This window comes from Homo sapiens, chromosome 11 (assembly GCF_000001405.40).
Source record: "Homo sapiens chromosome 11, GRCh38.p14 Primary Assembly".
Classification (NCBI taxonomy): domain Eukaryota; kingdom Metazoa; phylum Chordata; class Mammalia; order Primates; family Hominidae; genus Homo; species Homo sapiens.
The window spans coordinates 77,740,206-77,755,785 of NC_000011.10; the positions used below are offsets into that span (position 1 = coordinate 77,740,206).

The window sequence follows — 15,580 nt, forward strand, 5'->3', positions numbered from 1 at the left end:
TCTCTATTAAAAATACAAAATTAGCTGGGCATGGTGGCACACGCCTGTAATCCCAGCTACTTGGGAGGCTGAGGCAGGAGAATTGCTTGAACCTGGGAGATGGAGGTTACAGTGAGCCGAGATTGCGCCATTGCACTCCAGCCTGGGCAACAAGAGCGAAACTCCGTTTAAAAAAGAAAAGAAAACTATAGCTAAATAAGAACCAAACAATGCTTTTCTTGTGCTTTTGTCTAACAATGTATTTTTCTGTCCATATTATTTATAATTATTCAGATTCTGGCTTCCTGATGTATAAGGTATGTGTATATAATATGGACTGAACTACTGAATATACTCATTTACTTGACGAATAAAAAACTAAGTGCATACTATGGGTATTACGCTGGATACTAGGTGAGGCCTTGACAACTCCCAAAACTCACACACAAAAAACCACTTCTGTCTGATAGATAACATCCTAGTTTTGAAACGAGATCAATGTACAAAACACACAAATAAGTGTAAAAAGGTTCCAATAAAAGATACCTGACAATGCATTTCCATGAAGAGCCATCTTGATCATCTTGTTCTTCTATGTACATTCTGACATTGTGATCTTGATCCAATTGGTACCAGTACATGAGGCCATCTTTGTCTCGACCAATTGGCTGGAGACGCATAGTATCGGCATCCTCCTCATTAATAATATTCTTGAATTTGAGATTGTCATCAAACTGACACTCACAGAGGTACTGAAAAATAGTCATAACATGACTTAAAATACCTCACAAATATTTCTCCATCACAGTAAATATGATACAACCGTAGAATTGATTCAGGGAAAGCAGTGGACAGAACACAAATACTGTATTCCTTCTTTCACTATCCTCTTCCCACTTTCATACAAACTGTTTAGAATAGCCAATATTTTAAGATAACATTTTATATTAACACCATACCAATTTATAGGTTTAACACAACCACTGACACACAAATCAAGTTTTATTTCAAAAGGAATGAGCCCGTTTGCACTAAAAACTCCCAAATCATCTCATGGTATAAGATTTTCTGTTTTAGGCCAGGCACAGTGGCTGACACCTGTAATCCCAGCACTTTGGGAGGCCGAGGCAGGAGGATCGCTTGAGTCCAGGAGTTAAAGGCTAGCCTGGGCAACATGGTGAAACCCTGTCTCTACAAAAAATACAAAAATTGGCCAGGTATGGTGGTGCACGCCTACAGTCCCAGCTATTTAGGGGGCTGGGCTGGGAGGTTGAGGATGCGGTGAGCTGTGATCTCGCCACTGCACTCTGGCTTGGGCAACAGAGCAAGACCCTGTCTCAAAAAAAAATTTCTATTAAAAATGTTTCATTTTTTTTTTACATTTTCTTTATTTAAAATGACAAATAAAAATTGCATATATTTATGGTATACACCATGGTATTCTGATATATGTGTATAGTGTGGAATGGCTAAACCAAGCTAATAAACACATCTACTACCTAAGAATTTTTGGTGGTGAGAACATTTAAAATCTAGCCTCTTAGCAATTTTCAAATATATTATATATTGTTATTATCTATAGTCACCATGTTATACAACTGATCTCCTGAACTAATTCCTCCTGTCTGACTTTTTGTAGCTTGGGCCAATATCTCCCCAGTCTACCCTCACCTCCCTAATCCCTGGTAATCACCAATCTACTGTGATTCTATGAGTCTGACTCTTTTAGATTCCACATTAAGTAATATCATGGGGTATTTCTTTCAGTGCGTTGCTTATTTTACTTAACATAATGACCTCCAGGTTCAACCGTGTTGTCACGAAAGCAGGAATTTCCTTCTTTTCATTTTACATTCTTCTGTTGACGGACATTTAGAATGATCCTGTATCTTGGTTATTGTGATTAATGCTGCAGTGAACACAGGAGTGCAGATACCACTTCAAGAAACAAATTCTTCTTCCGTTGGATATATATCCAGCAGTAGGATGCTGAATCATATGGTAGTTCTATTTTGAATTTTTTGAGGAGCCTCCATGTTATTTTCCATAATAGCCGAACTAATTTACATTCTCACAATCAGCGTGCAAGGGTTCCCTTTTCTTTTTTCTTTTTTAAGACAGAGTTTCATTCTGTCACCAGGCTGGAGTGCAGTGGCGCGATCTCGGCTCACTGTAACCTCCGCCTCCTGGGTTCAAGAGATTCTCTTGCCTCAGCCTCCTGAGTAGCTGGGACTACAGGGGCGTGCCACCATGCCCAGCTAATTTTTGTATTTTTAGTAGAGACAGGGTTTCATCATGTTGGTCAGGATGGTCTTGATCTCTTAACCTCGTGATCCGCCTGCCTTGGCCTCCCAAAGTGCTGGGATTACAGGCATGAGCCACTGCACCTGGCCTCAAGGGTTCCCTTTTCTGTACATCTTTACCAAACTTGTTATCTCTTGTCTTGTCTTTTTGATAACAGCCATCCTAACAAGCATGAAGTGATACTCCACTGTGGTTTTAAAATGCATTACCCTGATAATTAGTGATATTGAGCATTTATTCATATTATCTGTTGGCCATTTCCTACGTCTTTTTCTGAGAAATGTCTACTGAAGTCCTTTGCCCATTTTTAAATCAGATTGTTTTCTTGCTGTTGCTTGAGTTCTTTATATGGTTTGAATATTGAACTCTTTTAGTAGTTTTATACTTTCGGGTCTATATGTAAGTCTTTAATCCACTAAGATAATTTGTGTATGGTGTAAGATAAGGGTCTAATTTCATTCTCCTGCATGTGGATGACCAGTTTTCCCAGCACCATTTATTGAATAGACTGTCCTTTGCACAGTGTGTAATCCTGATACCACCGTCAAAAAGCAACTGACCATCAATACATGAGTTTGTTTCTGGGCTTTCTATCCTGTTCCAGTGGTCGATATATCTGCTTTTTACCAGTACCATGTTGTTCTGATTACTATAACTCAGTAGATTTTTGAGATCAGGTAGTATGATGCCTCCAGTTTTGTTCTTCTGGCTCAAGACTGCTTTAGTTACTCAGGTTCCTGTGGTTCCATATGAATTTTAGGGTTGTGTTTTATTTCTGTGAACAATGCCATTGGAATTTGATAGGGACTGCGTTGAATCTGTAGATCACTTTGGGTAGTACGGACATCTTAACAAGATTAATTCTTTTAATCCATGAACACAGGACATCTTTTCATTTGTCTTTTCTTTCATAATGTTTTGTAGTTTTCAGTATAGAGATCTTTTACCTCTTTGGTCAAATTTACTCCTAAATATTTTATTTTTTGATGCTATTGTAATGAATTGGTTTTTATAATTTCTTTTTTGGATTGTCTGTGATTTATGAGTAGAAACACTTCTAATTTTTGTATATTGATTTTATATCTCGCAATTTTACTGAATTCATTTATTAGTTCTAATAGTCTGTTGGTAGAGTCTTTAGGATTTTTTATACATAAAATCATGTCATCTGCAAACAGTCACAATTTAACTTCTTCCTTTCCAATTCAGATGACTTATTTCTTTTTGTACCTAACTGTTCTGGCTACGACTTCCAGTACTATGTTGAATGTAAGTGGCAAGTGGGTGTCCTTGTCTTGCTCCTGATGTTAAAGGAAAAGCTTTCAGTTTTTCACTGTTGGGTACATGTAAGCTGAGGGGTTGTATTATATGGCCTTTACTGCACTGATACATATTCTTTTCACACCTAATTTGTTGAGAGTTTTTATCATGAAAGCAAAGTTGAATTTTCTCAAATGTTTTTTCTGCATATACTCATATGATCATATAATATTTGTCCTTCATTCTCTTAATGTGGAGCATCACAACTTTATTTAGTTAATTAATTAATTAATTTTTTGAGACAGAGTCTTGCTCTGTCACCCAGGCTAGAGTGCAGTGGTGTGGTCACAGCTCACTGCAACCTCTGCCTCCCGAGCTCAAGCAATTCTCTTGCCTCAGCCTCCCTAGTAGTTGGAATTACAGATATGTGCCACTATGCCCAGCTGATTTTTGTACTTTTAGTAGAGATGTGGTTTCACCATGTTGGCCAGGCTGGTCCTGAACTCCTGACCTCTACTGATCCATCCGCCTCAGCCTCCCAAAGTGCTGGGATTACAGGCGTGAGCCACCCCGCCTGGCTTATTTATTTTTTAAAGACAAGAGTCTCACTCTGTTACCCAGGCTGAAGTGCAGTGGCACGATCACAGCTCAAGCAATCCTCTGCCTCAATCTCCCCAGCAGCTAGGTCTACAGGTACACGCCACAACACCCAGCTAGCTAGCTTTTTAAAATATTTTACAGAGAAGTGATCTCGCTATGTTGCCCAGGCTGGTGTTGAACTCCTGGGCTAAAGTGATTCTCTTGCCTCAGCTTCCCAAAGTGCTGGGATTACAGGTGTGAGCCACTGTACCTGGCCATGTATCACATTTATTGATTTGCATAGGATGAACAATCCTTGCATTCTGGGATAAATCCCACTTGATCATGGTGAATGATCTCATTTATGTGCTATTAAATTTGGCTGCTAGTATTTTGTTAAGGATTTTTGCATCTGTGTTCATTGGGAATATTACTTTTCTTATAGTGTTTGTGTCCAGTTTTGGGATCAGTATAATGCTGGCCTTCTAAAATTAGTCTGGAAGTATTTTCTCCTCTTCAGCTTTTTAGAAGACATTGAGAAGGACTACTATTAGTTATTCTTTAAATGTTTGGTAGAATTCAGCTGTGAAGCCATCATACCCTGGGCTTTTCTCTGATGGGACATTTTTTACTACTGGTTCAATTTTCTTACTTGTTATTAGTCTGTTCAGATTTTCTATTTCTTCGTAATTCAGTCTTAGTAAGATACATGCTTCTAGTATATATCCATTTTTTTCTATATAATCCAAACAATTGTTCATAGTTGTTTCTATGATCCTTTGTATTTCTGTGGTATTGGTTATAATGTCTCCACTTTAATTTCTGATTTAAGTCTTCTCTCTTTCTTAGCCTAGCTAAAGGTTGTCAGTTTTGTTTATCTTCTCAAAAACCAACTCTTAGTTTTGTTTATCTTTTCTACTGTTTTTTTCTAGTCTCTATTTCATTTAATTTTACTCATATCTTGGTTATCTTCTTCCTTCTACTGAGTTTGGGTTTAGTTCGTTCTTCTAGTTTCTTGCAGTGTAACATTAGGTTGTTATTTGAGATCTTTCTTCTTTTTTAATATGGCCATCGATTGCTATGAACTTCCCTCTTAGATTTGCTTTTGCTGCATTTTGTAAGTTCTGGCATGTTGACTTTCCATTTTCATTTCTCTCAAGAGTTTTAAAATTTCCTTTTGGATTTTTTTTTAACATGTTGGTTATTCAGTAGTCATGGTATAAAACTTTCAATAATTCTTTCTCTCTTCCAGGTTTTAGGTGAACATTATTCTTAAAGGACTATCTATTTTTGAAAGCCTGAGACATATGCAGTTTTCAAGGAAGGTAGATTTTCATTGATAGCTGGCTCTGGAGAATTCTCTTAATAAAAAGATATTCACATACTAGATTGGAAGAACTAACTAACTTTTTGTTATGTATTTTGTATGATTAGGGTATAAGTCAGATTTCTTCCTATCTCTGCCCGGGCAGACAACACATTAAGTTACTTCCTATTATAGCCCTTATGCCTTTGCCTATGTCAGCTATCCCAATGGTCTCTAAACATTTTTGATCAAGCATCCTTACTACTAAAAAAATTTGTAACACACCCTGAAAAGTTATATGTATTATATCCACTTTCTTATGTATTTACATAATAAATACATAGTATACACACTAATATATAATGTATGTAATACTAAAGTATTACATACTTTTCAGTAGCATCCCCCTAACCTAGAGGTCAGTATGTATACTAAAGTATTACATACATTATAGGAATGCACAAAAAGGTATTTCAAAAATTGGGATTAATAAAAGTTATGAGTATAATTTCTATAACTTTGACTCGCAAGGAATCACAATTACCCCCTTGGGACCACAAGCTGGTCTAGAGACAGATGAACCTGCATGATTGTACACCCTGAAATCTGAGCTTACTATGACATTTGGTTTTCTGAGACAGGTATCTTTTGGATCTTGAAGACTTCTGTGTAGGCTCCAACAGCAATCAACATCTAACAGCAAAATAACACCTACTCTATAGTCTTATCTAGCTCCAAAATAGTAATATGTATATTGACATTATATTTTAAGGTTCATCATAAAATCTTGAGGTCTTTTGAATAAGAAGCCTACTTACAAAACATTATAAATTTTAGAAGTAGCAAAAACTTCATTAATGTTTTCACAAAGAATATTTTTTCTCCTCTACTATGCTGGCCACTTTGCTACTAATTAGGGCCAACAGTAGGAAGTGGGCAGGAAAAGAAAGGAAAACTCAAACTTGTAAAAAAGCCTACTTTGAGATGACCCATTTAAATCAAGTTGGTTTGGTTATGTGAGGGTTTTAAGTACGAAATGACATGCTCCTAGTCATCCAGAAAACAGTATCAAATTGCTAATTTAGTAAATCGGTAAAAAATTATCCACAGTTTACAGTATATAGTAATGATTGTGAAGGCTGAAAACAATGAATAAAACTAATTTGGAGCAACTGCTTGCCCATGTTATTACTGTCCCTACAAGAAGAGATAATTAAACCTAGATATATTTATGCATCAAAAAACAGCACTTTAAAGAATAGATTGTCACTAAAAAATAGACTCCATTGTCCTCTTCTGCTAATAATAAAAATGTCTACTTTTTGTTTATTTTCCAATTTAACCAGGAGTCAAAAGTTAAATTTTAAATTAAAATAACTGTAACAAATAATAGATTTATTACCTTTAAGAGTGCTAGTTTGCATTCAACACTCATTTCAAGATAGCCCTTCTTCTCCATCTCCCATGCCCAGGTACTGTTAAACTCTTGGCATATCTGTCAGATAAAGTTAATATCTTAATACATGAAAGCAATTTTTATTTATGTTTGCAGGCTTGTACAACTATGCTGTTCTTGTTAATACATGTTTATAAAGGAAAGAGGTTACACTAAACAGTCCAATCCAACTGCACCCTAAAATGCATACTACTTAAAATGATAAAAAATATTTACTATTGTTTGATAACTGAATTTAAGGTAAGAAGGGATCTCTGTAGCTCTCTCCTCTGCTATCAAGAACTTTATACATACTTTATAGACACATTTTCCCGCATGAGAGTAATTGTTTGATTCCATCTCTCCAAATGGCTGGAAGTTCCTTTAGGGCAATGACAAAAATTTATTCATCTTTTTGCCTAGGACAGAATTAGTTCAAAAAACATGCCAAATTCTACACATACTTTTAACCACGCCTCTCTTGAACTCATTGTTCTACTATTTAGGAGTAAAGTTAAAATTCCATTCTTGGCATATGAAAACTTATGTAACTTGGCTTTAAGATAAATGTCTAGGCTTCTCTTTCTACACAAGCATTTCAGGCAAACCAGAGCCACTGTAACAGACCAAAGAAAGAAGATCTGAATAACCACTGCATTTCAAAGCCAGTGCAAGAAACTTTCTCTCATTTCAGCAGCATCACCCTAAACTAGAGGTCAGAGGAAGCCAGTAAGGGAGGTTAACACAGTGAAATGCAAATGGGTTCTATGACCTCTGTGAGCTAGTTTTTTCAGCAATAAAACTGGAACATTAATAATATTATCTTAAAGGCCAAAGAGTAGGCAAAAAATGATACAAAATGCCAGCAATTTCACGTATTTCTTGCAATTCAAGGAGCAAAGAGCATAACGAGGGCCAAAGGAGAAGAACCAACACAAGGCAAGAGATTAACCTGGAGTACAGGGAATGGGGTAGACAGGAGAAAAACAAGCCAGCTCTCTCAGGTGGGTTACCCTTTTCCTAGCCTGCACTAGTGTCATAGTGTCATCTCTTTTCATCGATTTGTGCAATAAAATAATAGATTAGTATTAATATAGAAAAAGAATACAAAACAAGCAGTATGGCCAGGAACAATATAATAGAGGATCTTTTTTTTTTTTCTTTTTTTTTTTTTGGAGATAGGTCTCACTCTGTTACCCAGGGTAGAGTACAGGGACACGATCACAGCTCACTGCAACCTTGACCCCCTGGGCTCAGGTGATCCTCCCACCTCAGCCACCCGAGAAGCTGGGGCTATAGCCGTGTGCCACCACACCTGGCTGATTTTTGTACTTTTTGTAGAGACGGGGTTTCTTCATGTTGCCAAGATGGACAATGGACAGTTTAAAGACTCACAGGAAGCATGAGTTTCCCATTCCCTAGAATATATTACTTCCTCTGGCTGACAGTGTTACGTTTTTCAGAGAGAAAAAAAAGGATATACAGAAAAAGGGAAAAATATAAATATTACATGAGGAAGACCCTAAAGTGATTATATCAAAAGCTAAAATGTCAGAATCTGAATAGACATTTTACCACAATGAGAAAGATAATAATAAATGTTGGTTGACGATACGGAAAAATTTGAATGCTCACAGGTTGTTACTGGGAATGTAAAATGGTGCAGTTGCCTTGGAAAACAGCTTGGCAATTCCTAAAATGTTAATATTTAGCTACCATATGACTTAGCCATTACACTCCTAAGTATTTACACAAGAAAGAGGAAAACGTACGTCTACACAAAAACTTGTATACAAATGTTCCTCGCAGTATTATTCACAACTGCCAAAAGGTGGAAGCAACCCAAATGTCCACTAACAGGTGAATGGATAAACTGTGGCACACCACACAATGGAATTTTATGTAAGCATAAAAAGAAATGAGGTAATAATATACTATAGCATAGACAAGGCTTGAAAACATGTTAAGTGAAAGAAACCAGACACAAAAGGCCACATATTGCATGATTCCATGTATATGAAGTGTCCAGAATAGTCAAATCCATACAGATAAAAGTAGATTAGCAGTTCCCAGTGGGTAGGGGAAGGAAGGAATGGGAAGTGACTGCTGATGGGTAGGCAATTTCTTTTTAGAGTAATAAAAGTGTTCTCAAATTAAGATAATGATGATGGTTGTATATTCCCTGTAAATATGTTAATAAACACTAAATTGTTTAAACGGTAAATTTTCTGGTATGTGAATATCTCAAATTTAAAAAAAAGAAAGACAGAGAGACAATCAACAATGCAGAGTCCAGCTATGACCTGAATGAAGCACTTATTGAGTGCTCGGTTGAGTACCAAGTCCCTAGAAGAAGATAACGTTGGCTGACTATCCCAGAGGCTAATGCCAAGTATGGGGAAGCTCATCCTTAGTATCTGAGAGGTGAAAAACGACATAGCTCCAAAGTTTGGCCAACAAACCAGATATGGAAGCACAGCCAATGGCTCACAGTGTCACAAATTCCAAAAACAACAACTACTGATTCGCATCTATGTGTAAAAGGGGAGGATAAAAAAAGAGAAATGGATATAAAGATGATAAAAATCCTTTGCCCCCACACTGTTTAACTTAAATTTACTGACCTTTATTTATAACATTTAGGGTACATTTGTTTTGCAGATTTCAAAGATAAATTTACTACTCATTTTGTATTTCTGAGACGGAGTCTCACTCTGTCGCCCAGGCTGGAGTGCAGTGGTGCGATCTCGGCTCACTGCAACCTCTGCCTCCCAGGTTCAAGAGATTCTCCTGCCTCAGCCTCCCGAGTAGCTGAGACTACAGGCGCCCACCACCATGCCTGGCTAATTTTTGTATTTTTGGTAGAGACGAGGTTTCACCATATTGGCCAGGCTGGTCTCGAATTCCTGACCTTGCGATTCGCCTGGCTTGGCATCCCCAAGTGCTGGGATTACAGGTGTGAGCCACATGCCCGGCCCATTTTGTATTTCTTTAAGGGCAATTTAGACATACTGCTGTGCCATTTGATGTTAAAAAAAAAAAAATCCACTAATTAGCTATGCACAAAACAGCTATAACCTACTGTTACCACAAAATGAACACTGCAAATAAAACTTGCAAATAAAAAGATTATTCAAAAAGACATCTAAATAATTCTTATGCAAAACTATTTAATCTACACCCGGGGTAAGCAAGTTTTTCCTCAAGGCCCAAACAAGAAATAATTTAGGCACTATAGGCCATAGAGTCTCTCTTGTATCTATTCAAACCTACTATCATGGTGCAAAATCAGCCATAGAATATACATAAATGAACAGGCATGGCTGTATTCCCGTAACACTTTGTTTATGGATAATGAAATTTGAATTTCATAGAATTTTTACATGTCACCAAATATTATTCTTCTTTTGAGTTTTTCTCCCAATCATCTAAATATGTAAAAACCATTCTTAGCTTTTTGAGACAGGTACCAGGCAGGATGTGGCTCATGAGCTATAATCTGCCTAGGGAGCCAGAAATTAGCTGTGTCTATCAGAGACTGTCTATAACGGTGAATTCTTGGGTCCTGGAAGCAACCAGATCCTAATTACATTGGTAATTCATATTAATTCCCCATGCTCCAACTTGTTTCTGACCAAGAAGCGTTATAATTATAATTTGGTTTTACATGCAATTTCTCTTGAGGGAGAGAATGTTCTAATATCTAAAACATGAACAATTTGACATAACATTCGTACCTATTATCACCATAAATCATTATTCTATAATACTTGTTCTTTGTTTGATTATCTATAAATCTAGCTGATAGGTCAGGTCCTATTGCGTTCTCCTGCTTGGTGCCTGAGGGACAACCATTCTCCTGACACAACACCAGAATCAATGTTTGGTGCCTGCAAGGGTGAAAGTCAAATATTTGGCCAGGGAGGCATCCTGGCCACCAGTCTACTGCCATTCCAATACCCCTTACATCTTTTCCTCCTAACCTCTACATACAGGTAAACAAAGTGGAGGATGAGGATGGAAAATGTTGGGCAGAGGAAAGGAAGGGAGCTTTTTTAAAGGTTCCGTATCAGCTCAATATATATAGGAAAGGTGACTTCACATGCCTACAGAGCAAATACATAGACTTTATCTCAGTGGGATCATTAACTTATTTATCTTGGATTTACATAAACAATCAAAGTAACAATAATTCTTTTGGATAACTCATAAGAAATTTAAAAAGAGGGTGTGAAATGGCTTCTAAGAGCCTAAGATCTCATCCCTGGGGGCAGCTAGCCCCACTTAAGTTCCAGTCTGGAAAAACCCAAGGCTCTCAAAGGAATTTACTTCTGATTCCAGCCAACATCTGAAGACAGGTCGCAGACCTCCCCTTCCCATTTATTAAACAAATTTAAAATTGTAAATCCTTCTTCTGTCCCCTTGAGATGCATATGTATTTCCTAAGACCCAGAATATCTTTCTGAAGGACCTGAAGGCCATTCCTTTGAAATATAACCAACAGACAGGGCCTCGGTCTACCAGTCTCTGTGAGAGGGCAGATGCCTAATTTCCATTAATGCTACTTAGAAGACAGAAATGACATAATCACAGAAGGTCAACAACGCTCTTAGCTTCTTTTTAAATTTTTCACTTCCATAACTTGACTAAAGCTCCCCCATTCCTCCCACTCCTCTCCCTATTCCCTCTTTCTCCTTTATAAACACCCAGTCACCTCTGCACAAATTCGAACACAGCACAGCTCCTTCCTGTACTGCGATAGTTACTGAATAAAATCTGTCTTTATCAGCTTTAACTAGTGTCAGGCTTTATCTTTCACAAGAGGAATCCTTGGAGATCATTTAGATCCAAATCCTTATTTTACAATTGAGAAACATAAAGTTGAAAGAGATTCACTTAACCAGTGACTCCACAAATATTACTATGTGCAGACTATATGGCAGTAACTAGTCTAGGAGCTCAGATACCATGGTGAAAAAGACAACCCATTCAAACTGATACAGGAGATAGAAAGAAATTATTTAGACAGACAGCGAGGGCAAAAGTCCTCAGCAGAACTTCCCTTCTAACAAAAAGCAGCCCAAGAAGTTATTTATTTTTCTAATAAAGAGCAGCCTGAAAAATCGAGCTGCAAACATAAATATGGAAGCTGAAAGGTTGCAAGGTGGAATGCTGGCAGCTGTGCCAATAGAAAAGGGCTACCTGGGGGCCAGGCATGTCCACCATGGACACTCCATCTTCCCTTTTTTGTTAGCACGTATACGGTAAGAAAGAAAGGGGGAACATGGCACAGCTCAGGCTGAAAATCCGCCTGCATAATAAAAGACTAAGGTGGGGGATGCCAGAAATTCGCTCCTATGCGAACGGCACACCTATTCTTAACTGTTTTTTCACGCCCGCCCTATGTAGATTAGACACCACCTCCCCATCAATTCATCTATAAAACCCCTTGCATTTCACCATGGAATGGCAATCCATTTTTCTGGGACCCCTCTCTGTAGCTGAGAGCTATTCTCTCTTTTGCCTATTAAACTTCCACTCTTAACCTCACTCTCTGTGTATCTGAGTCCTTGATGTCCCTGGCTGTGAGACAATAAACCTTGGATGTCGCCCCAGATGAGGTCGCAAACTGTCAGAGGTACTGAACCAGGGCAGCTTCATCTTGAATAGGGGCTGAGTAACATAAGACTGAGACCTACTGGGCTGCATTCCCAGGAGGTTAAAGCATTCTAAGTCACAGGATGAGATAGGAAGTCGGCACAAGATAAAGGTCATAAAGACCTTGCTGATAAAACAGGTTGCAGTAAAGAAGCCACCCCAAACCCCCCAAAACCAGGATGGCCACAAGAATGACCTATGGTTGTCCTCACTGCTACATTCCCACCAGCACCAAAACAGTCTACAAATGCGATGGCAACACCAGGAACAATTTTTACCCTATATGGTCTAAAAATGAGAGGCATGAATAATCCACCCTTTGTTTAGCATATAATCAAGAAATAACCATAAAAATGGGCAAGCAGCAGCCCTCAAGGCTGCTCTGCCTATGGAGTAGCCATTCTTTTATTCCTTTATTTCTTAATAAACTTGCTTTCATTTTACCTTATAGATTTGCCTCGAATTCTTTCTTGTGCAAGCTCCAAGAACACTCTCTTGGGGTCTGGATTGGGACCTCTTTCTGGTAACAAAATCGCCTTTGCAAAAATTATACTAGCGAAAAAATTATGACAATGGGGGAGATCTAATCTAGCCAACTCCCATCTTGCCTTTAATCTGCCCTTAATTATTCCTGGGCTTAAACTTTGGGAGACATTTAGTTTACAATTTAAATGACAATGGCCCTTCCCCAAAACTCAACTGCCTTTGTAAAGCTAATGAGACACCACTAGGCTAGGAGGATAGAGGAGCCTGAACTGGCTAAGGTGTGCAAACTTGTCCAACGCGTGGCCCACAACAGGACGGTTTTAAATGAGGCCCAATACAAATCTGTAAACTTTCTTAAAACATGAGAATTTTTGTGATTTTTAAAAGCACATCAGCTATCATTCATGTTAGTGTATTTTATGTGTGCCCCAAGGTAACTCCTCTTCTTCCAATGTGGCCCACAGAAGCCAAAAGATTGGACTCCCCTGGTAGAGGTAAAGGATTGCCAGCCATTATTCAGAAGGTAACAAGACATGCAACTTCTCCAATTATTCCTGCAGATAACATCACTATTGTACAACCTAAGATTGGCCTTTTAAGAGGTCTTTCCAGGTTTGTTGTATGTCTGATAACCAGTGGCTCCACGTGGACCTGCCAATCTGTGGCCCCACCCAGCAACGACCAAGTATGCAGGAAGACCATTTCTCTTGCACCCCCAACCAATAAGCAGTAAGCACCCATTGCCTAGCCACCCAACTCCTTCCCCTAAACTGTGTTTGAAAAACCCTAGCCCCCAAATGCTAGAGGAGACTAATTTGAATAATAATTATGACTCTGGTCTTCCCTTTAGATGATTCTATCTTGGTAAAACTCTTCCACTATTGCAATTCAGCTGCTCTACATGGGCAGGGGGCATTGATTGGGTAGTTCTACCATCATGATGGAGGTTATATCCTATGAGGCAGTCAAACAGGAAAACTAGTAAGAAAATATCAAGCACTAAAAATAATATGCTGAAAATAAAAAAGAGTAATGTGATACAGAAAGTTTAAGTACTACTCTGGATCGGGTGCTTACTGACAGCCTCAATAAAAAGTTGACATTTGAGACTGGGGTAGGTGACTCATGCCTGTAATCCCAACACTTTGGGAGGCTGAGGTAGGAGGATCACTTGAACCCAGGAGTTTGAGACCAGCCTGGGTAATGTAGGGAGACTCTGTGTCTACTAAAAATTTTAAAAATTAGGGCTTGGTATGTGGTGATTCACTCCTGTAATCCCAGCACACTGAGAGACCAAGGCAGGAGGATTGCTTGAGCCCAGGAGTTTGAGACCAGCCTGGGCAACATGGCAAAACCCTGTCTCTACAAAAAATTAGCCAGGCATGGTGGTGCAGGCCTGTAGTCCCAGCTAAGGTTGTGGGGTGGGGGTGAGGGGGTGGGGCTGAGGCAGAAGCCAGGGAGATGGTGGCTGCAGTGAGCTGAGGTCACACCACTGCACTCCAGTCTAGGTGACAGTGAGACCCTGTGTCGAAAAAAAAGAAAACCCCCAAAAAACAAAAACTAAAACTAACAGAATTAGCCAGGTATGGTGGCTCATGTGTGTAGTCCCAGCCTGGTATAGCGGTACACATCTATAATCCTAGCTACTAGGGAGGCTGAGGCAGGAGGATTGCTTGAGCCCAGGAAGTCAAGGTTGCAGTGATCCAAGATCTTGCCACTGCACTCCAGCCTGGTTGCCACAGTGAGACCCTGTCTCAAAAAACAAAAAAGACCAGTGTAAATTAACTAGACTAAGGAGGAAAGTGGCAAAAGATATGGTAAAATAGGTAACCAAAGGCCAAATTATGTAGGTTAGGGTAAGGAATTAAGATTCTATTTCAAATATGATGGGATATCACTAAAGGATTTTAAATAAGGGGAAAATAGTATGATCTGATTAATGCTTCATTTGAAATCATGGCTGCTATGTAGAAAATGGATTGCAGAGGAGCAAGAAGGGGAAACTAGGAAACCAACCTGAAGGCCAATGGTGGCATGCATTATGAGGGTAGTGGGGATCAGAGAGAAGTAAGCTGTGGTTTGGAGGTAGAATTATCAGGACAGCTGATGGAACAGATGTGGAGGGTGAATGGAAAGAAAAATCAAGGGTGACCCCTGGATTTATCAAGGTTCCTTGGCTTGAACAAACAGGAAAAATGCTTTTAACTAAGGTATTAAAATTGGGAGAAGGAAGTTAATGAGAGATTTGTTTGTACATAAAGATGATGGTATGTATCAGACATCTAAGAAATGTGTTGCTGAAAGTCATTCAGAGATCTTCTGACTGGGTCACATTGTCTTTACTCAAACCTTTCAAATCTGAATCAAGAAGATTTTTTTTTTTTTGAGATAGAGTCTTGCTCTGTTGCCCAGGCTGGAGTGCCATGGAGTGATCTCAGCTCACTGCAACCTCTGCCCCCCAGGTTCAAGCAATTCTTCTGCCTCAGCCTCCCGAGTAGCTGGGACTACAGGTACGCGCCACCATGCCTGGCTAATTTTTGTATTTTTAGTAGAGATGGGGTTTCACCATGTTG

The 15,580-nt window shown here is 38.8% G+C and overlaps 1 protein-coding gene across 3 annotated transcripts in view, besides 2 other annotated features; it reads right to left on the reverse strand.

Annotated features, from left to right (window-relative positions):
• The window catches only part of RSF1 (remodeling and spacing factor 1), a 212,224-nt gene that overhangs the window by 80,197 nt on the left and 116,447 nt on the right, over positions 1 to 15,580 (reverse strand). For all 3 annotated transcript variants that reach the window (XM_017017923.2, XM_005274051.3, NM_016578.4), the window contains exons 3-4: positions 6,831 to 6,923; positions 526 to 731 (exon numbers count right to left, since the gene is read on the reverse strand). In XM_017017923.2, the coding sequence (XP_016873412.1) occupies positions 526 to 731; positions 6,831 to 6,923 (299 nt within the window). The remainder of the gene's footprint in view (positions 1 to 525; positions 732 to 6,830; positions 6,924 to 15,580) is intronic.
• Positions 12,993 to 13,577: an enhancer, noted in NCBI's record as "OCT4-NANOG-H3K27ac hESC enhancer chr11:77464243-77464827 (GRCh37/hg19 assembly coordinates)". NCBI's record gives its function as "activates a minimal SCP1, AML or CMV promoter by ChIP-STARR-seq in naive H9 embryonic stem cells {active_cell/tissue: H9 hESC(naive)}" and the evidence as "EXISTENCE:reporter gene assay evidence [ECO:0000049][PMID:30033119]".
• Positions 13,578 to 14,161: an enhancer, noted in NCBI's record as "NANOG-H3K27ac hESC enhancer chr11:77464828-77465411 (GRCh37/hg19 assembly coordinates)". NCBI's record gives its function as "activates a minimal SCP1, AML or CMV promoter by ChIP-STARR-seq in naive H9 embryonic stem cells {active_cell/tissue: H9 hESC(naive)}" and the evidence as "EXISTENCE:reporter gene assay evidence [ECO:0000049][PMID:30033119]".